We start from the raw sequence: 21,913 nt of genomic DNA, 5'->3' as shown, positions 1-21,913 counted from the left end.
ATCTTGACCCACTGCAACCTCCACCACCTGGGTTCAAGCAATTCTTCTGACTCAGCCTCCCGAGTAGCTGGGATTACAGGCGCATGCCACCACACTTGGCTAATTTTTGTATTTTTTTAATTACAGACAGGGTTTCACCATGTTGGCCAGGCTGGTCTCAAACTCCTGACCTCAAATGATCTGCCCACCTTGGCCTCCCGAAGTGCTGGGATTACAGACATGAACCACTGCGCCCAGCCTAAAATTTAGTATACTTTTTATACAGCTTTAGCAAGTATTCCAGATTATTTTGTAAAATATTTTCTTGTAAATTGCATAATTTTTTCATATACAAAATGCTTAGATGGTAACAAATGTCTGTGTATTATATAATTATAGGATATATTTTAGAAATTAGTTCAATTTTTAAGTTGTTCAAATTTTATGTATATTTTTAAGATAACTTTTTAAAAGTTTCTAATGCCTTAAATGTAGTGATCTGAGAATAGGCATTCATACTGTTTTAAACAAAGTAGATTTGCCACCATTTTATACTCACTAATTTTTTTATTATATGACAGGATTGACTAACTTTTCCCCCATTTGCTTGGTTTTACAGAATCTTGAGCTCAGAAAATATATCTCCAGGTTCTCTGCAGTTTCTCTGACACACACAAGATGTAATCCACAGCATCTTCCATTTAAATGACCCCTCATTTGGGCAATCAAATTGAATAGTAATCATTTTAGACTTATTAGGGATACAGCATCTCTTATCCAAGCATATTCCACAAAAAGTGGGTTTGTAACTCTGAGTACTTGAGCATCCAGAAAAGACAAATTTTTCAGCTTTGGAGAGTTGGAAAGTAGGTTGGCATGTTTTTCCTTTGGGAATCTGAAAAGATAGATAAAATGAAGTCATTCTTTAAATTTTATTACAATAGTTTTGAAAACATGTAGAATAGTTTATAGTACAAATCTGAGTATTTGGAGGCATTAATAAAAGTTGCTATGTAGTGATTTCCAGCACTCTCTTTACCCTTAAGATCCCCTTCTTATCAGAGGTCTGTCCTCTCTATTCTTCATCATATTATAGCACGTACTCCTCAATGTTTTTTGCTATCTATTCTTGACTCAATTTTACAATAAATAGAAATTTCTGTTTTGTTTAATATCAAGAGCCATGTCTTATTAAATATTTATCTAAGACTTAGCAAATTCCATAACACAGCCCAGACAGTTTTCAGTGGATGCATAGATGAATAATTATCCTAATCTTTCTTTAAAACTGAATTGTCAACTTGCTAATATGATAGAGAATAACTTTGGGGTAGAAGGATTGTGTAGCATTTCTAAAAATTACCCTTTTTGAGACAGACTTACTGCCTCATTCAAGAAGCAGGACCAGCTCTAGTTATACCAAACAATCTTAGGGTAAATATTTTATCATAGTGTTTTAGCAAGTTTACTATGTAAGCATAGAGCATTTTGGAAATGGTGTGGCTTCCTTCCAAGTTAGTGATATATAACTAAGATCAGGACTTCTCTACTCTGATGTTCATAATATCTGTTTTCATAATTATAGTGTAGCAACCAAAATCTTTTATTCATTAACATAGAAAAAAGAAGTTAGAATCTGCTCTGGTTGGTAAAATTTTCCCCACAACATGCAGTTAATACCTGTTTTCCTCTGAAATAGTTTGACTTTAAGCATTATAATGAGATGCTTTTATTTTTCTAAGAACTAAACACCATCCCACCCTCCAAAACACACACATGCTTACTTTTCAGGAATCTCTTAATATTGAATTAAGTTAAATATATTTAAACTTTACCTTTATTGTCTTTAATATATTGCTGTCGCAAGGCTGAATGTAACACAGTCTTTTCTCTTTTCTCATTTCACAGTTGCTGTTTTCATTGGTCACCCTGTTAGATATTCCCATCCCACATGTTCTGGAGCAGGGAGTCCATTTTGTTGCTTGCACAAGACATTTTTTTTTCCAAATAAGTGGGAGATTTCTATAAGCTAAAACAAAGGGAGAAAAGTACATATGTATACATATAAATGTACTTGTATAAATAGATAATTTTTAATCATGTTTAATGTTTAAGAAATCTGAGTATTTTTGTATAATATAACTCAGAATAAAAGAAGCCGATGGTCTAATTTATCACTCTATCTCCCTCTTTCCCAACCCCAAAATTAACTTTCAATCAAGTATTACAGTCCAGTCTCTTAGGAGGAATAAAAATACTTTATCTTTGAAAAACTGAGAAGATTTACTCATTTGCATTTTTCTGCTTTGCCTGTCCTCTGAATACTAAACCTAAGCTTATGTTCCTGTTGAGTTGTCTTTTCCCTTGTTCTTGCCTCATCATTTCTAACAGACATTGAAATAAAAATTAGGGAATTTGATCAGAACAGTGTGATCTTAATGTTAACTTTCATAATATGTTAAAATCTAAAATACAAAAATTATATTTGAGAATGAGACTATCAGTGAGACCAGATTTCTTCCATTTGTTTTAATCTAGTCTTTTAGAAAACTGTCTAATTAATACTACACTGAACTAAACTAATCATTTATATAGAAAGTCATTGCAAGCGTATAATTTCATTCATTCAACTTAATTGTCACACTCCCTATGTTCTTAGGCCCAAAGTACTCTCCAATTGGCTAAGATTTCGAATTACATATGAAAAAACAGAATGGATGGATCAATAGATGGGTCAGTGAGTGAGTAGATAGAGCCCTTCCAATGTGCTGCTAAGGAGAAATAGGAGGGGAAGAGAGAATATAAGAGGGTCTAATAATGCTCCCATTTCCATGTAAGGTCACTGGGAGCTTCTTCTTATAAATGAATCAGGCCCTTGGCTCATTTTAAGCAAACTACATATTGACTTACTGTCTCAAGGCATTTCCTTAAGGTTAATGTGCATCTTGAAATGGATGCTTTGGGAGTATGGTTGTGATTTGAGTCTGCACAGCAAAATTCTGGCTATATTACTTCAAAAAAATCAACTTAAAACTCGAAAAACACCCAGAAAAAAAAAAAGCCTTCTTCATAGGAAATAGTCTCTTTAAAGTATGTGCTCTATTTTAATTGATACTGTGACACTGCTTTCAGTGTTATGACAGTAGAGTCTCTTGCAATTGCACATAGAACTGAGGAGAGGAAGCAGAAACGTGAAGATACCTGGAAGGTAGACAACAGTTTAAAGACCTCAATGCAGGAAGCAGATTAGAAGCTTGGCACACATCTGCAATAAATAAAGGCAGGTTAGATTACCGTGTTACCAGTAATCCCACTTGTTAAACCGACAGCTGTAGTTCAGGAATTTACCATTCATTAAAAAGCAAGAAAACTAGAAGAGATTTTTTAAACAAAGCTTAGTGTTTGGTGAGCATTGAAAAAAGCATGAGGGCATTGAAAAAAGCATGAGGGCATTATGTCATTGCGTGCTTCATACTGACCTAGCAAAAGCTAGATTCCAACCATAGACTATAAATTACTGTCACAAATATATCTAAAAGTATGTGTTTTTGTCATTATGGTTAATTTTAAAAGCCAAATTCCTGTGTGGGCCATAAATATAATTTCACAGTTAAGCAAAGAAGAGACATTAGACTGAACGTATACTTCATTTGAAACACACCTAGGTCTAAATCATAAATACCAGAGAACACTTCAGGAGATTTTCTTGTTTTACCTGACAAAACACTAACTACTAAGACTGACTATCTGATGCCTCTCCCAACCAAGGTCAAAGTGAATCCACTGAACTGCTCTAACTTCTAAAATGAGACCAACTTGAACTTGATCCAAAGGGCTTCACTTGTGGAAAACTGCTCTAAGGTAGTCTTCCCAGGGAAGTTTATGTGTGGGTTCTAAGAGCCTTATACTGAATGACTAAAATCCAATGCAGAAAACCAACTGTTCTGTACATTTTGAAAAAAAAAAATAAGGACATGGCTTATAATTTCAGAGATTTCAGAGCATTAACAGTGTCATGCTGTCAACTGAACATGTATAGTAAATGCAAATTCACAACAACCTAGTAAATTTTTTTTCTAATTTACTGACAAAACTGGAGTTGCTGAGGATGTTCCTTTCATAGAGTTAGTTCTTAAATATCTAAACTCATTTCTCTGCTTATAGTTGCCTTTATTAAATATCCACTTAATAAAAGTGAACTCATGAGTTGTTAACATATTCAAGTATTCTGCATTTCCATGGCACCTCTCACTAAGCTCTAAACTTTAAGAAAAAGGCATTCTTGATTTCTGGATGAGAACACAGAGATGTGAACAAGAACCAGACTTCGATGTTGCCCCTTTTGAGTCCCTCCTCCTCTATACTTTATTTGCTGGTGGTTCTGAAACTCCTGTTCCCAAAATATGCTGATGCTTAAATAAAATGCTAACTTAGAGCAGACCAGAATACAAGGTTTATAAGTATACTTAAGCTGTTTGAAATGGCCAGATACACAAGATGAGTAATGAAGGATCACACTTCATTTTTCTGAGAACATAGATACATGGGTAACCTACTTAAAAATGCCTGTGTGTGTGCATGTGTGTGTTTGTGTGTGTGTGTGTGTGCGTGCGTGTGTGTGTGCGTGTGTGTTTGTGTGTGTGTGCGTGTGTGTGTTTGTGTGTGTGTGTTTACAGAGAGATTAACAATTGAGCTTCAATTTCAGAGTGAGGGAAAGGACTTCCTACGAGATTTCTATTTTTAGAAATAATATTTACAAGTTCAAAATATGTGTCAGTTCTTAAATATTTTTCAGCAGTAGCCTCCCATTTCTGCCTGTATCACATAGAAATGTTACCTTTTAAAATTTGGGGAAGTGAATGGTCAAACTTCTTGCCCATAATAGAACAATAAAAATAAGTTGTTCTAGGGTACATGTGAACAATATTTGGTCAATTTTCCTGAGAAGAGGTTAGAAATAAGCAGAGGTGTAAGATTTTAGTAGAGCTTCCTGACCTAGTAGATCTTTTAAAAATGTTTTTAAATGTTTTACCAGAAAATTCTAAAACATTATAAAATTTCCTTTGCAGATATTTATCCCTGTCTGAGGCAAAGATTAAGTAAAATGATACACTCAAACTATATCTCACTCTGACCACCAATCAACAAGTACTTACTGAGTACCTATGATACGTAAAAGGAACATGAAGGAATACCACCAAGGTCATACGTGAAAAATAGCTCTACTTCTGAGCACCTGGCATTGTTTTGTAGCTTGTTGAAAGCTGCTGTAGTAATGGTTCCAGGCTACAGTTTGACTGATCAGACTTCTTTCCACCTTTAGCTCCAGAGCAGTGACTGCCAGCCAGCTTTGGTATGAACAGAGGTGTGCATCCAATGGCCCCACTCACACAGAGGCAGCTGAACAAGGGGTTGGGCTGAAACACTTGGCCATTATGATAATGTACCTGGTTGAACTCGCACCCAACAGCTACAAGGTCTGAAAAGAGAAAAGAGCAAAATTGCCAAAGAAGCCATGATCTGTGATAGTCTAGACCTCCAATTATAAACCTAAGAAGAAACGGATCATCTCCTGTATGAAGTATAGCTCTCAACCTCTTAGGTTCCATTTGGAACCTCCTTCACAGGACATCTGTAGAAAGGTTTCTAAAGTGAGGCATTTTTATTATATTGCAGGCTATAAACCCCACATGGTCACTTCCAGAATTAAGACCAAGTAAAGACCCTGTAAAATCACCATAAGTATAGTGGTTGATAATAAATCTGAGACAGGTTAATGCCTAGTGAGACAGGTTTTCTCAGACATCCAACAATAGGCTAGGATATAGTCTTAGGAAGACAGGATAAGTGAATGTCTGAAGAAACTATACGTTAGTTAACTACAGAACCGCAAGGTACTGATGGTTTTTGTTAAGAGATTGCAGGAGAGTTTCCCTTCCTCTGATGGGTATTCTTGACTTTCTGGATAGGCTGTTCCCCAAGTGTGGTCCTCTAATCCCTTGGCAGTACCTGAGACACTTTTAGGGGATCTGCAAGGTCAAAACTCTTTTCCAAATACTAAGATGTGGCTGGCCTTTTTCACTGTGTTGGTATTTGCACCGGTGCTACAAAAGCAACTGTGGCTAAAACTGAACTGCTGGTGCCTTGGCATGAATCAAACTGTAGAGGTAATCTTGTATTTTTCCTTGCCAGGTACTTATACTTTAAAAGGGGTGGGGGAAGTTTTACCTAAGAATGTCCTTGATGGCACAGCAAAAAGTATTAATTTTATTAAATCTTAATCATCAAATACTGGTCTCTTTAATATTCTACGTGACAAAATAGGAAATATACATAGAATATTTTAGTGCAACAGCTGTCTTGAAACTTCAGCAAACTGCTCTCTCAGGGAAACTTAAGGAACTATGTCATTGGTAAAGTTGTGAGCTGAGCTAACCACTTTTTTTAGTGGGAATTTTACTTGAAGAAATGACTGATGATAAACTGGTTATTCAGACTTGTGTATTTTGGAAATTTTTTTTGAAGATGAGCAAACTGAGCCTGTCACTTCAAGGAAAACAACTGTGACAGCATTTTTTGCCAATGCGAGAATTCAAGATTTCAAGGAAAAATTAGAATTTTGGAAAACTTGTATCCATCACTGAAAACTTTATATTTATCCAATATGTAGACTTTTCTGGTGAGGATGATATTAATGTGATTTTTTTTAGATATTACATAATTAAGTGTATCAATATTTTGAACATCTCTACAACACAGTAAACATATTTTCCAAATGAACAATGCATAGAATGGCAAAATTATACATGAGTAAAAGATCTATTCCAAATGGGTCTTGGATAGACCAATGCATTTTAATGTCACAGAGTCGAAAGTTCATTGATATGGTTTCAGATTCCATGATGCAGCTAATTTTTAAGGCACTGTCACTTGCCAAGTTTTAATATAATATCAATAAACATAAAAGTATATACACAATGATCTGAAAAGCCTGTTAAAATATTCCTCCCTTTTCAAATTACATATCTGTGTGATGCCAGATTTTCTTCACATATTTCAACCAGAAAAACACATAGTAACAGATTGAAAGAAGCAGCAAATGTGCGACTCTAGCTATCTTCTATTGAGCTAGACACTAGAGAGATTTGCAAAAAATGTAAAACAATGACACTCTTTTACTAAATTTTTCTTTGGAAAATAAGTTACATGTTTTTTCATAAAAACGTTATTCTTATTAATCTGCAATGGGTTTATTCTTTTTAAGTGAATAAATATTTCTAAATTTCTAATCCATCAAATATCAATGATAAAACCCACATAAAACCTCTTTAGGTCCTCATTAATTTCTAAGAGTATAAAGGGGTAATTTCTAAGACTGTAAAGGGGTCCGCAGATCAAAAAGCTTTTAAAATGTTGCTCTTGATCAGGGATCATCAGGTTTTCTGAAAAGAGCCAACTAGAAAATATCTTAGCCTTTGCAAGCCAGAGAGTGTTTGGTCAAAACTACTGACTCTGCCATTGCAAAGCAGCCAAAGACTCTACATTAATGTGCCATGTTCCAATAAAGCATTATTTACAAAAACAGGCTGTTGGCTAGATTTGACCCTCAGGTCATAGTTTGGGGCTCCAGTTATAGATTATCCCCATTCCTATCCTCGTGGCTATGCCCTGTTAAAAGTCTCATCACATTTTGTGTGAAATTACTTACAGAAAGGTCTGACATCTTAATATTTCATTCTCTGAGGCCAAGGCCTATATCTTTTGTTTTTCCTGTCGTGTCCTCAGTTGCTGGCCACAGTGCTTGGCTCTGTAGTGGATGGTCACTAAGTGTTTGTTGGTTTAATGAAATAACCTGCCTAGCTTGGGAAAAATGGGTGTCCTGAATGCCACTTTGTTTGATAGGTCATGTTTTCATTATAGGATTCCAATAAATAACATTTTTGGGATCCTACTGAATACCAGCTATTGTGCTAGGCGTTTTATGTCATTATTTTATTTGATCCTCCCAGCAACTCTATAAGCTAGGAAGTACATATTATGTAACTGAGACACACAGAGAATAAACAACTTGATCAAGTGTATTTAGTTAGCAGAGCAGTCAGGACTTGAACCTAGATCCCACATTTTTAACCATACAATACAGTGCTGGCAGGGGCATCAGGCTATCAAGCTTGAGTGCTCTACACATTCAGCCTGACTCCAAAGGTAGGCTCTCATTCCATGGCTCATAACCAAACTTCTGATAGTAATTTGCCTTCCTACTTTGACTTTTCTACAGACGGACTAAACTGCCCAGGTGACATGAGTGTTTCTCTTCCCTTATAAATTTTATTTGTTTAATCCTAAATAATTTGGCACCCTGAATTAGTGTCAATGTTTAGATGGTCTGAATCAGTCTCCAGAACTTAGTCACATAAGGCTGAGGGTCAGGTTGTGGTTTGGGGTGACCTCACCTTCTTTTTTTACAAATCTGCTGAAGTAAAAAGCACAGCAACTCGGTCATTAGTTGGGAAAGCTGAGGTTAAAGTTGTATGTCTGAATACTGGGTATACATTCTAGTATTTTTAAGCAGATCATTTTTTGTTACAGAAAAGGCCGAATTCGGATTGTTTTTGACAGTATTAACAAAAGCTGTCATTTTGTAGCTCTTTAAAAAGTCAGACTCTAGATAATTCCTTTTATTTTCTATCATTAAAAGCAATTACCTGAGAAGAACTGCAAAATCACCTCAGTGCAATGAAAATAATGGGCTTCTGAATGTGTGTAAGCATCTGCTAATTTCACATAGTATCCAATACAATGGAGCCAGTCCCACTGGTGCATGAAAACTAAACCCACCTCATATTTAGCCAAACTAAGCTGATCACTCCAAGCTAACAATTGCAGGAAAAAAAAATTCTGTCTAGACTCAATCTTTTCCAGCAGGTCCAGAAGAAGACACTTACATGCACACACTCCAGTCTCGTACCTAGGCCTGTCTACTGAGTAGTCACAATACAGCCCTTTGTGTGGGTCACAGAGGTCAGCTTCATTGCAGATTTCCCCTGGTTGCTTGGCACAGATTTTACAGCATCCACAGCCATCTCTCACCAGGCTCACTCCAGGAGGGCAACGGGGCTTCTGCTGAGGGCATTTGCAGGGCCAGTGACAAAACTGTTTACGCTGAGGTGCATCTGACACTTCTCCAGGCCTTCCTTCAGGTGTTGTATCTAATGGTCCAGTGCCCTGTACCCTGCAGCAGAACTTCATTTGATAATAAAGGTGATGTTAGAAATAGCTTCTCTATGTAATAGTATAACAGGAATAGAAGATTTCCCCCAAACAGGTAGTATACAGAGTGGTGAGTTACAATCATTATAATAACACCTATCAGCATTTGACACAATTACTCTCCTTAAACTATTCTTCACTCAGCCTCCAAGACTGTTGGAGGCTCTTATTCCTCTTATTCCACTCTTACTCCTCCTTTATCACTGACTGCTCCTTCTCACTCTCCTTTGTCAGTTTCTTCTCATCCTCTTAATCTGTAAACCTCAGAGCCCCATGGATAAGGCCTCTAAAGTATCTTCCCTCACTATATCTCTTATCTCCAACTCATACCCCTCTTCTGAACTCAGACTCAAACTGCCTACTTAACATCTCCACTTTGATGTTTAATAGGTATAGCAAATTTAATATGACCAAAAACAAGCTCCCAAGCTTCCCCTTCCACTCTGCTCTTCCACACACTTCCCTATTTAAGCAAATGCCAATATATTTCCAAAATACCTTGAGATCAGATCATGCTTGACTCTTCTCTTTCATATTTTACATCTAATTCCATCAGTAAATCCTGTTTATTACACCTTTAAAAATACCCACCTTGATCATTTATTGATACCTTCTCTGTTACCATCATAATCCAAGTCATCATTGTTCACTTGGATGATTACAATAGCCTCCTGAGTGTTCACCTTCCTTGCTCCTTTGTCCACTTGACATCCAGAATGATTCTTTAAAAATAAGCCAGTTCATATCACTCTTTGCTCATATGGAGTGACTTCCTCATGGCCTCCCATTTCCATGTAAAATTCAAAGTGCCACCATGGCCCTGCATCCTGTGGTCCCCCCTCCCCATATTACTTTGCCCACTGCCACTCACCCCCTTGCTGCCTCCACACCAGCCACACCAGCGTCCTTGTTCTCTGACTCCAAGCACACTCTGCCCCTAGATATCTTCATGGCTCACTCTTTTACTCTCTTTAGGTCTGTGCTCAAATTTCTCAGTGAGGCCCTCTTTGACCACTCTTTGTGAAAGGGCACCCTATCCCAGTCCTTTCACCGTAGAGTTTACCACCTTTCTTATTACCTACACATTTCAGTTGTTTACTTTCTGATACCTGCACCAAGAATGTGAGCATCTTGAAAGCAAGATCTTTGCCTAATGTCTGTCTTGATGACTGCCATCTTTATAAATCACTTTACATGGTTATTTCAATCAAACTTCATAGCAACAGCGTGCAGTGGTGATTATACCATGTGATAGGCAGATAGTGGTCCCCTCAAAGATGTCCATGTCCTAATCCCTGGAGTCTGTGCATATATGTTACCTAAAACATTGAAGGGGATTTTTGCATATGTGATCAACTTAAGAATCTTGAGGTTATCACTCTCGATTATCCAGGTGGGCCCAAGGTAATCACAAGTACATTGGGTCCACTGGGGAAGGAGGCAGGCATGTCAGAGAAGATGTGATGGCAGAAGCAGAGGTAGGAGCGATGCCGTTGCTGAAATGGGTCATGGTCCAAGGAAGCCAGACAGCCTTTAAAAGCTGGAACAGGCAAAGAATGGATTCTCCCCTGCCACCTCCAGAAGGGAGGCAGTCCTGCCAACGCTTGATTTTAGCCCTGTAAGACCCATTTTTGGACATCAGATGTCCAGAACTGTAGATAATCATGTTGTTTTAAGCCATTCAAGTTGGTGATTTCTTACAGCAGCAATAGGAAACTGTATACTCCATTTTGTAAATGAGGACCCTGAGACTCAAATTATTTAAGTTGTCCTATGTGACATATCAAGTAAGTGATAGAAGACTGATTTAAATCAGGCAGGCAGGTTCCAGAGCCTAAGCTCTCAACACTTACCCTCCTTCCTTTCCTAGTCCAAATCATACTGCAACCCAGCTTTGATACAGAACAAATCACCAAATCTCTGCATCTATTTCTCCAGCCTAGACCTCATCCCTTAAGCTTACAACTTATTAGTTGCTATGGTACATATGCACTTTGAGGTTCTACAAGTACCCTCCCCCTGACAAACTGCTCCTCAACTAGCAGTTCCCATTTTAGTGAATGGCGTCACCATCCACTCAGGTCCCCTAGTCAGGAAGCTGAAAACCATCTGGATTTCTTCCTCTCCCTCATCCTTCACACGTGAAAGTGTCTGACCTACAGGAAATGTGCAAGCACTTATGCACAGCATTCAGGGCCCTCCTCGTGTCTTGCAGTTCTTGTATGCATTAGGTTCCAGAAAGTTAAAGTGCCTGTAGTTCCCTGCATATATGATGCTGTTCCTCCTGCCTGGGACATTCTGCCCAGACCCAGCTCCTTCTTCATCTAGTTAAAGGATACTTCAAGGTTCTGTTTCAGTATCATCTTTTCCAGAAAGGTTCCTATAACTTCCCTGCCTTGCACACATTTTTAAACTGAAATTACCCATGTAAGTGCCTATCTCTTCCACTAGCCGTAAAGCCACCCAACCTCAGGTGCTTGTGGTTTGTTTGTGAGTATACCACCAGCACCTAGCACAGTGCCTGGCAATTTGCTTATGTAAATAACTCTTAATGTTTATTTGATGGAACCAGGGACTGTTGAATTGATTACTAGATCTAAGTCCATTTGCAGCTCAAAAATTCTACATTTAGAAGTATCTGTAGGAAATTCCACCCAATATTAAACCCTCAGCCTTTTTTCTTACTACTGGTAAAACACATATGCCTCAGTAAAGAGTAACGTTTCAGCTGTGATTCAAAAGTTACATGCACAACGTGAGAATGGGTTTTGATGGGGAGGATAGGACACTGCTGGGCTTCTGGAGAAGGAGCAGGGGAAAAGGAAACATCAAAATGGAGAAGGGAGTAGAAATAGTGAAGCTAGAATCCTAAAAAAATTTTAAACTTAAAAAAATTTTGCCTCCATCTCAGTTTTGCACAGGTTCAGCTATAGCCACCAGTGATTCAGGATGCCAGGTTCAGTGGCCTCTTTGCTGGTCTCACATCCGTGAACCCTCTTCAGTCCTCCTCTTGCCCCACCTCTCTAAGGCATTTAACTCTCCTCTACCTTGGATTTCATTACATCTGGTCCCCCCAGTCCTCCCCTTACTTTTCAACGCACTTTCTCAATCTCCTCCGCAGGCTCCTGTTACCCTGAATTTGACTTAAATTTAGGCCTATTGGTGTTTCATAGCTTTAATGTATTGCTTGCCTCATTCTACACTGTGTCTTGGCAATCTCACCCACACCCTTGCCTTCAGTTTTCATCCTATGCAAGTTTCAAAACTAAATTTCCAGCCTGGACTTCTCCACTGAGCCCTGGACCCGTGAGATAACTACCTACTGGACATCTCCACCCAAATGTCCTCCAGGAAATACTCAAGTCCAAAAGTCATCATTTTTCACTCTTCAAAGTTTGGAGTCAGGAAGCTGGATTCATCTGGGTTGTCTTCCTCCCTCTCACCTCCTATGACGATTCAGTGACCCTCTCCTATGTATTGTATTGTCCTCGTCTTCCCAGAACTAGATGCTTTTCCCCATTTCATTGCTACTAAGTAAGCACCGTCACTACGAGTTCCTGACTGACCTTCCTCCCTCCAGAATGACTTTTCAAGTGCATCTACTATGTTGCTCCTGGAGGAATCTCTTTAAAGAACATGTCTGGTTGTATTACTCCTCTCCTTAAAGCCCATCAGGGGTTCCCCATAGTCCATACTGTGCAGCCTAAACTTCTGAGCCAGTTATCCAAAGCCCTCTCCTGCCTACCTCTTGAGCTTTAGCTCTCACACACTCTCCTTCCATGACTTGCCATTTGCTGGACTCCCTGGGTTGGTTTTCTCCTCCCTGCTTTTTCATGTGTTCTTTCTAATGAAATGCACACTCCCAAAACTGCCCCCGGATGCCTCTTTAACTTTCCAATTTTGAAGCATTTCCAGATAATCTCTGAGGTCAAAAGGTAACACTGTTGAAATCCAAGGATAAAGAGAAAATCATAACAGTAGACTGAGAAAAGCATTACATACTGAATTACATGAAAAATGAGATCTGACTTCTCATCAAAAGACGGAGGAGGAGGAAGAGATTGAGAAGAAGATGTGCAAAGACAATGTTGAAAGGAAAAAAAAACAACCTGTCAACCCAGAATTATATGGCCAGTGAAACCATCTTTCAAAAATGAAGCTGAAATAGCCTGTAATCCCAGCACTTTGGGATGCCGAGGCAGGTGGATCACTTGAGGCGGGGAGTTCAAGACTAGCCTGGCCAACATGGCAAAACCCCATCTCTACTAAAAATACAAAAACTTAGCCAGGTGTGGTGGCGTGCACCTGTAGTCCCAGCTACTCAGGAGGCTGAGACAGGAGAATCGCTTGAACCCAGAAGGCAGAGGTTGCAGTGAGCCAAGACACGCCACTGCACTCCAGCCTAGGCAACAGAGGGTGATTCCATCTCAAAATAAAGAAAATCATAACAGTAGACTGAGAAAAGGGGGAAGCATTACATACAGAAGTACAATAAAACTGAGATCTGACTTCTCATCAAAAGAAGGAGGAGGAGGGAGAGATGGAGAAGAACAAGATGCCCAGAGACAATGTTAAACGGAGAAAAAAAAAAATCCTGTCAATCCAGAATTATATAGCCAGTGAAACTGTCTTTCAAACATGATGGTGAAATAAAAACCGTTTCTGGGTAAACAAAACCTAAGAGAAATTGTTGCTAGCTGATCTGCCTCACAAGAAATACTAAAGGAGGATCTTCGGTCTGAAGATCTTCTGTTATGATAGTAACTTAGAAATACAGGAAGAAATGAAGAGGCCTGGACATAGTCAATATGTGGGTAAATATAAAGAATCTTATATTTTTCACTTTTCCTCAGGCATATTTTGATTGTTTTCAACAGCAAAATTTCAGGACAATAAGCATCACTAGAATGGTGCAATAGAAAGAATAAGCATTTTGACAACAGATCCGAGCTTTGCAACAGCTCTGTGATCTTACAGAACTTCCCATCATTTGATCTCCTCTGTAATATGGGATTAATAATGACCACCTTGTAAAGTTGTTTTGATAATTAAGATAATAACTAAAGCACCCTTGGGCCGGAGGTGGTGGCTCACACCTGTAATCCCAACACTTTGGGAGGCCGAGGTGGGCGGATCACTTGAGGTCAGGAGTTCAAGACCAGCTTGGCCAACAGGGCAAAACCCTATCTCTACTAAAATACAAAAATTGGCAAGGCATGGTGGTGTAGGCCTGTAATCTCAGCTACTTGGGAGGCTGAGGCACAACAATCGCTTGAACCCAGGAGGTGGAGGTTGCAGTGACCCAAGACTGCACCACTGCACTCCAGCCTGGAACGACAGAGCAAGGCTCTGTCTCTAAATAAATAAATAAATAAATAAATAAAGCACCCAGCACAGTATTTGGCATATAGCAGCTATTCAGTAAATGCTAGGTATTATCAGCTATTTCATGAATTTATGAATTCATAAAAGCAAAGTTAAGCACAAAATAATCCATTTTTACCGCTCTTTGTGTAACACCTTTCTGTGTTTGTTGTTGTTTATTTTGTACACATCTCTCTGTGTTGGAATACCTGCTGTCTAAGAACATCTAGCTGCTCTCAATCCACAATGACAGGCTTTTTCTCAAGAACAGTGGAATAGGAGGCACACAGACAGGGGAGTGAGCCCCTCCACAGAACAGCAGCAATGACCTGGACCACTGACATTCTTGTCATGATTCTTTTGAAATCGTAAATCTCTCTCTATATGGTATAACAATTTGCAATTCCTTGTTTTCTAAGATGTATCTACTACTTATGGCCCCAATCAACTACTAACTCACAGACACACCCATGTTTCCTAAATCACCAGATTTCAAAAGCTCTGTCTCCTGTCTACCGTGTAAATAAATCAACAATTAAGTCACCTTGTTTTCATCTTCTTATTTAAAAAGACTAAGGCAATGAATTGCTCATAGTAAGTTAAACTTCCCTTTGGTCTGTTGCTTGAAATATTTCCAAGCCTCCATGGACTGCTTCCCTTTCAGGAAGTGAGAAACACATGGACTGAGAAAAGACAAAGTAAGAGAATGTTTTAAAAATGTAAATGTTTATTCCAAAGTGCCCCTTTCAAAGAAGGACAGACTTAACTGGAAAAAGTCGCTGTCAAAATTCGTTTTTCCAGGGGCTCTTTGCACATTTTGCAAACAGCAATGGAAAGTTGAGCCTCCGCCTGGAGCTGGCATGGAGAGACACTGTTTCCCGCACTGTGCCAGGCTGTGCCTTAGGCTCTGCTATAAAAATATATAGGAAAGCGTGGCGCTGTTCAAACATAGCGAAAGGAGGCTTCGGTGCCATTACCTGAAAGGGAGAAATGTTTTACATTTCTTTCATGAAGCTCATGAACGAACACAGAACTTTATTTGGAAAGAAAAATGGCTTCCTATTTCTCATGAAGTAGTTCCACAAGCCATTGATCCTCCCTCTTCCTCCATCTTCGTTTTGTTTAGTTTTGGGCCTGAAGAACTAAGGATGGCCATAGCCTCCGGAAGGGAAAGAGTCGGGGGAGAGGACTTACCTGTGCCAGGCCAGCAAGCAGAAGAGTGGAGAAGAGGAGCCCCTGCATGTCGCTGGGACCGTGGAGCCACCCTGAGGGGTAGAGAAGTCGCCGCTTGTTCATTGCTCCGGGTACACAAAGCTCCCCTGTCTCCTCTGCAAACCCCACGCTCCTCTGCACAAGAACACACACCCTCTACCTCCCACACTACCAACTTTCAGCCTGCACTTTCATTTTTAAGGATCCGTTTTAATACCCTGTTTACTTTCATGGGACTCTTCTAATAACCTGCCTTCGCAGTGAGCGTGTCACAGGTCAGGAATGGGCGAGCACTTTCCTCCCGGGACTCAGGAGGGCAGGGCAAGTAGTGACTGTTCTCTAAGTGACTGTGTTACCTGTTCCTGGAGAGCAGAGCCTGCCCCCGACAACGGGTGGGGTCCCACGTCATTCCCTTCCTTGCCCTCAGCTTCTCCATCTGTGTTTGCCCTGCTCCGGGTCCTCTCTAGGCTGCTTCCTTCTCCAGCTTCACCCTCACGTACAGAGTGCAGGCCTGGCCCCCCCACCAACAGCACCCATCGCAGCCTAGCCCTGGCTTTCCCCCTCCATATTAATGGCAGGCTCTCGAAGGACCCTGACTCCCCCAGCTCAGATTCTCTCGGAGGCACCCACAGTGCCCTGGGCTCACCTTTATCCCAACACCTTTCTCATGCCAGGTGGACTGTGAGTGGAAAAAATACAGATGGAGCAGGGGGCGGACTCCTACAGTACCTGGCCTGAGAGACGCCTCTTTTTGTGGCCACAGTTCCATGACAGATGACAATGAAGTTAACCTCCATTTTTCCGGGCCTAAAATAAAACAATTACACTGGTAGCAATCATTCATTTAATGAATTAAGATTAAAAATAAGCCTGGCCAATATGATGAAATCCCGTCTCTGCTAAAAAAAAAAAAAGACACAAAAATTAGCCAGGTGTGGTGGCAGGCGCCTGTAATCCCAGCTGCTTGGGAGGCTGAGGCAGGAGAATCGCTTGAACCTGGGAGGCGGAGGTTGCAGTGAGCCGAGATCGCACCATTGCACTCCAGCCTGGGGGACAAGAGTGAGAATTATTCTCAAAAAAAAAAAAAAGATTAAAAATAAAATTTTGACAGGTTTGTACTCCTCTTCTTCATACTCACCTCCCTGAAAGGTGTGACCACCAGCGCATCTCCTCCTGTGTCATCATGTGGGACCTTCGCTTCTCCATGTTCTCAGCCTGGGTCTGTGTTCCCATCTTCATTTGCAGCTGCCGTGGTGCTTTGTCCCTCTCAGGTCCCTGAGGCGTCCCACCTGCCTGCCCCCATCCCAAGGCCTATTTCTATTTCCTTTGATCAGTTACCTATCCCTCCTTTTCCTGCTGCCTTACCTATCCTATACCGATTGCTCACCTTTGTTACTGTTCAAGGCAGTCACTACTGTATAAAGACAACATCAAGCCTCGCTTAGGCCTGAGCTGAGGGCCTGGGAAAAACGAGGCTGTCCTCCACCACAGAGAATCTGGTGTCCTTGGAGAACCATGGACACCCTAAAACCTGCAGATCACACAGAGCTTACTAAGGAGTCATTAAACTGTAAGTATATGCACATCAAACAACAAGGAATACCCACTGCAGTTAGGATGCCAACGCCTTATCTTGCCTCCCTAAGAAATAGGACAAAACCAGATAATGGAGTAGTGAAGAAAATGTGTCTGTTTTGGTCCAATCTGATCTTTTTCTTTTCTTTTTTTTTTTTTATTATTATACTTCAAGTTCTAGGGTACATGTGCACAATGTGCAGGTTAGTTACATATGTATACATGTGCCATGTTGGTGTGCTGCACCCATTAACTCGTCCTTTAGCATTAGGCATATCTCCTAATGCTATCCCTCCCCCCTCCCCCCACCCCACAACAGGCCCCGGTGTGTGATGTTCCCCTTCCTGTGTCCCAGTGTTCTCACTGTAGAGAAGTCCTTAAATGACCTGATGGAGCTGAAAACCATGGCACGAGAACTACGTGATGAATGCACAAGCTTCAGTAGCCGATTCGATCAACTGGAAGAAAGGGTATCAGTGATGGAAGATCAAATGAATGAAATGAAGCGAGAAGAGAAGTTTAGAGAAAAAAGAATAAAAAGAAACGAACAAAGCCTCCAAGAAATATGAGACTATGTGAAAAGACCAAATCTACCTCTGATTGGTGTACCTGAAAGTGACGGGGAGAATGGAACCAAGATGGAAAACACTCTTCAGAATATTATCCAGGAGAACTTCCCCAACCAAGCAAGGCAGGCCAACATTCAAATTCAGGAAATACAGAGAACGCCACAAAGATACTCCTCGAGAAGAGCAACTCCAAGACACATAATTGTCAGATTCGCCAAAGTTGAAATGAAGGAAAATATGTTAAGGGCAGCCAGAGAGAAAGGTCGGGTTACCCACAAAGGGAAGCCCATCAGACTAACAGCGGATCTCTCGGCAGAAACTCTATAAGCCAGAAGAGAGTGGTGGCCAATATTCAATGCTCTTAAAGAAAAGAATTTTCAACCCAGAATTTCATATCCAGCCAAACTAAGCTTCATAAGTGAGGGAGAAATAAAATCCTTTACAAACAAGCAAATGCTGAGAGATTTTGTCACCACCAGGCCTGCCCTACAAGAGCTCCTGAAGGAAGCACTAAACGTGGAGAGGAACAACTGGTACCAGCCACTGCAAAAACATGCCAAATTGTAAAGACCATCAATGCTAGGAAGAAACTGCATCAACTAACAAGCAAAATAACCAGCTAACATCATAATGTGGATCAAATTCACACATAACAATATTAACCTTCACACTTAACAATATTAACCTTAAATGTAAATGGACTAAATGCTTCAATTAAAAGACACAGACTGGCAAATTGGATAAAGAGTCAAGACCCATCAGTGTCCAATCTGATCTTTGTCTTTTTATCTTCCTGGTTATCACCATTGGTCTGTGGGTACCAGCCTGTGATTCCCACACCACACCGGCTGTCAGGATGGATAATTTCATGTTTCTGGTTTGTCTATGAAAAGCAGAGGAGTCGCATCCCAACACTGGGGTATTCATCAACTGTATCTCTCCAGCTCCAGCTCTCCCCCGGTTCCACATATAGTAATGCACATATCAGTGCAATTTTTGAATTTAAGGAGTTTCACCCTCCTCCCGTTTGCTGTCTGTGAAATGCTGGCGGCAGCAGGCATTTTTCTGGAATCGTCTTCCATCCCTCTGCAGTCTCACTGACGTGGAGCAGGGGAAGATAGATGTTGACCATCCTTGCCTCTTGGTAGGAAAGGAACATCTTGCTTGAAAAGTGACCTGCAAAACCTCCCCCAGCTCCAGAACACACTGGCGCTGGGTTACTCACTCCCACATGTGTTTAGACATCTTTGGCTGTGGGAGCTCCTATTTAACTCTTTCCAGCCGACTGTGTGTGGACTCCATGGATATGGTAGTTTTAGAGGTCGGGGCTGCTATTTTTGACCTTACACAATAAGAGCTTTCACAGTGTGTGTCCTGTTCTGAGCATGTTTCCCTATTATCTCATTTAACAGAATGCTAATCTGTCTAGGAGCTCATTTCACAAGTGTTCAGTTTGTGATGTACGTTCCAATAGACATGGCGCTAAGCATAATTCAATGTGCACCATGTTCTATGATTTACAAAGAAGTTTCCTGTGTATTACATTTTTAATTTCACAGCTCAGTGAGGTGGGCAAAAGCAGTATTACCAACCTCATTTAACAGATTAAAAAGTGAAAGCTAAGCGATTATACTTGGTCAATAAAACACACTTAATCTCTGCCCTCTACAGCTAAATAATCTACTGGGAGAGAAGACGCTGAACAAATAAACACACAAAATGTCCGTCATTGAAAGTTGAATAAAGGCTAATAAGAGCAAAGAAGAAATTATAAGAGAGAATGACAGGTGAGAGCTAATTTAGATTGGGGGCAGAGAGGACATCTGAGGAAGTGATACTTAGTCAAGAGATGAAGCTAGATGAAGAGTCGGGAGACAACTGCCAGTCCAGGACTCCTTCCACTGGCAAGATGCACACCTCTAATGGTGGTGAGCTCCCCCGCACAGAGCACACCCCACTCCTTTCCCGTAAGATTCCTAAAATCGTTCTGTTAGGAGCGTCATCACAGCTAGAATAGTCCCTTCTCCTGGGAGTACCAGCCGTCCGGGCAGGCAGTGTTTGGAGCTCATGCCTGTGGTCAGCAAGCTTAGTACAGTATGAGTCTTCCTTTCCTCATCCCCTCTTTCCTTATCTTCCTATCTTACTGATTGTGGAGAAGGGTGTATTGACATCCTTGAGAAAAGAGAAGATATTGTTTGTGGAAGTAATGTATTGAATGTGTGCTATGAGGGGGGTCAATATTTGCTCCAGTGAAATAGAGATATAGTAACAATAACACAGCTTGGGCAACATAGTGAGACCCCATCTTTACAAAATAGAAAGTAAAAAAATTAGCCAGGTGTGGTGGTGCATACCTGTAGTCCTAGCTACTTGGGAAACTGAGACAGGAAGATTGCTTGAGCCCAGGATGTTGAGGCAACAGTGAGCTATGATCATACCACTGCACTCCAGCCTGGGAAACAGAGAGAAATCCTGTCTCAAAAAAAAAAGTATAATAATAATAAGAGCTAACATTGGCCGAGTGTCACTGTGTCTCAATATTGTACTGAGTGCTGTATATGTATTAACTCCTCTGATCCTTCAGCAACACTGGGCCTGTGTTCTGTGATTACCATCTTTGGTTTACTTATTAGGAAACTGGGGCAAGGTCACATGGTTAGCAAGAGGTAGAACCAAGATTCCAAGAATTTCATTACCATGCTCTGCTGCTCTCTGCATGGCCTGTAAATGACACCATGATCAGTAGCAGGATGATTGATTGATATATTAATTTGCATTGAGTTCTCTGTATTTTTCTTCCACCTGCTCCTCTCCTGGATTTCAAGAAGTTAGTGAGGCCCTTTAGGGTTCCCGCCTATCCATCCTCTAAGCACAGGATGGAAGCTGCTGGCATGCTTTATCTTGCCTTTTGAGATCCTGCCTTGTTCTCACTGGTAAGAGGTGATGCTGGGAGACGATGGGGAGGAAGAGGAGTGCAGCCGAGCATTGGGTGAGGACTGAACATTCAGGCCTCCCCATGCAGCAGCCCGGGGAGGTGACTAAAGCTCAGAGGGACTTGATGATTCATGGTACTTCCAGGAGGCTGCCCCAGTACCAGGGTGCCCTGCACTGGCTAAGTTCCTCAAAGAACTTTGTGAGGATGCAAAGCCTCAAGTGTCTATGCGTATTTGGATGATACAGGTATTGGCAGAAAACTTAGGAACTGATTATCAGAGGCCTGGCCCCTTTTTAGGCACCTTCTAGGCCTGCTGGATTGTCGTTCAACCCCCACTCATGGTGGCAGTGGTGTGGGTGGGTGGGTGGTCATGATGGTGGCCATGGTATTGGGGGTGGGGAGGAATGCACCAATGATACCTTAGAATAAATCCATCTCAGGATGGAGGCAGGGGAGGAGGGTTCAGAGCCTGGTTTAATTTGAATTAAAGAAAATGAATTTGTGAAGTCATACTCATACTTGCTACAAATACCACAAGCTTCACAAAGTAGCCATTCTCCTGCAGTGTGGACTCTCCCCTGAAAACTCACAGAACTCAGAACCAAAACCAGTGCCGGAGCATCTGTACCGTCTCCCATGGCCCTCTGTTCACTCCTGGCTTGGCCTGCAACCGGGTCTCTAATAATGCAGCAACTCTGCCCACCAGGTTGCTACTGCAAGCCCAACAAGGCTGAAGGATGTTTGCTTGGTAGGTGCTCAATAGAAACTAGGTGATTCAAAATAGAGTCCTTTTAAATCACCTTATACTACATACTGCATACTACCAAAGCTAAGCATGTCTATAATTTTGCATACATTTATCCATTGCGTTCTTTCCTGCCATTTGCAAACTATTACCATTACAGTCATATGTCCCTTAAAGATAGGGATATTTTCTTTTTCTTTTTTTTTTTTTTATTGATCATTCTTGGGTGTTTCTCACAGAGGGGGATTTGGCAGGGTCATAGGA

The 21,913-nt window shown here is 40.7% G+C and overlaps 1 protein-coding gene across 8 annotated transcripts; it reads right to left on the bottom strand.

The window, feature by feature from the left end:
* Positions 527 to 17,400, bottom strand: CCN6 (cellular communication network factor 6). Of its 8 annotated transcripts, none has more exons than NR_125354.3 (7): positions 16,052 to 16,109; positions 15,808 to 15,878; positions 8,925 to 9,222; positions 5,216 to 5,458; positions 3,181 to 3,244; positions 1,815 to 2,008; positions 527 to 874 (listed from the first exon to the last, which is right to left on the bottom strand). NR_125354.3 is itself a non-coding variant. In XM_047419469.1 (7 exons), the coding sequence occupies exons 2-7, from the start codon at positions 16,592 to 16,594 to the stop codon at positions 2,002 to 2,004; spliced, it is 723 nt and encodes a 240-aa protein (XP_047275425.1). In that variant the 5' UTR covers positions 16,595 to 16,632; positions 16,964 to 17,400; the 3' UTR covers positions 1,920 to 2,001. The 8 variants fall into 8 exon arrangements, 6 of the variants coding, with proteins under 6 accessions (XP_011534522.1, NP_003871.1, NP_937882.2 ...); XM_047419469.1 differs by lacking the exons at positions 527 to 874; positions 16,052 to 16,109 and adding exons at positions 16,555 to 16,632; positions 16,964 to 17,400 and having other exon boundaries at positions 1,920 to 2,008; XM_011536222.2 differs by lacking the exons at positions 527 to 874; positions 16,052 to 16,109 and adding exons at positions 16,555 to 16,632; positions 16,964 to 17,400 and having other exon boundaries at positions 1,985 to 2,008; positions 5,427 to 5,458.

This window comes from Homo sapiens, chromosome 6, assembly GCF_000001405.40.
Source record: "Homo sapiens chromosome 6, GRCh38.p14 Primary Assembly".
NCBI classification, from domain to species: Eukaryota; Metazoa; Chordata; class Mammalia; order Primates; family Hominidae; genus Homo; species Homo sapiens.
The sequence above is the reverse complement of the archived record's forward strand: the minus strand, read 5'-3'. Positions and strand labels throughout refer to the sequence as shown.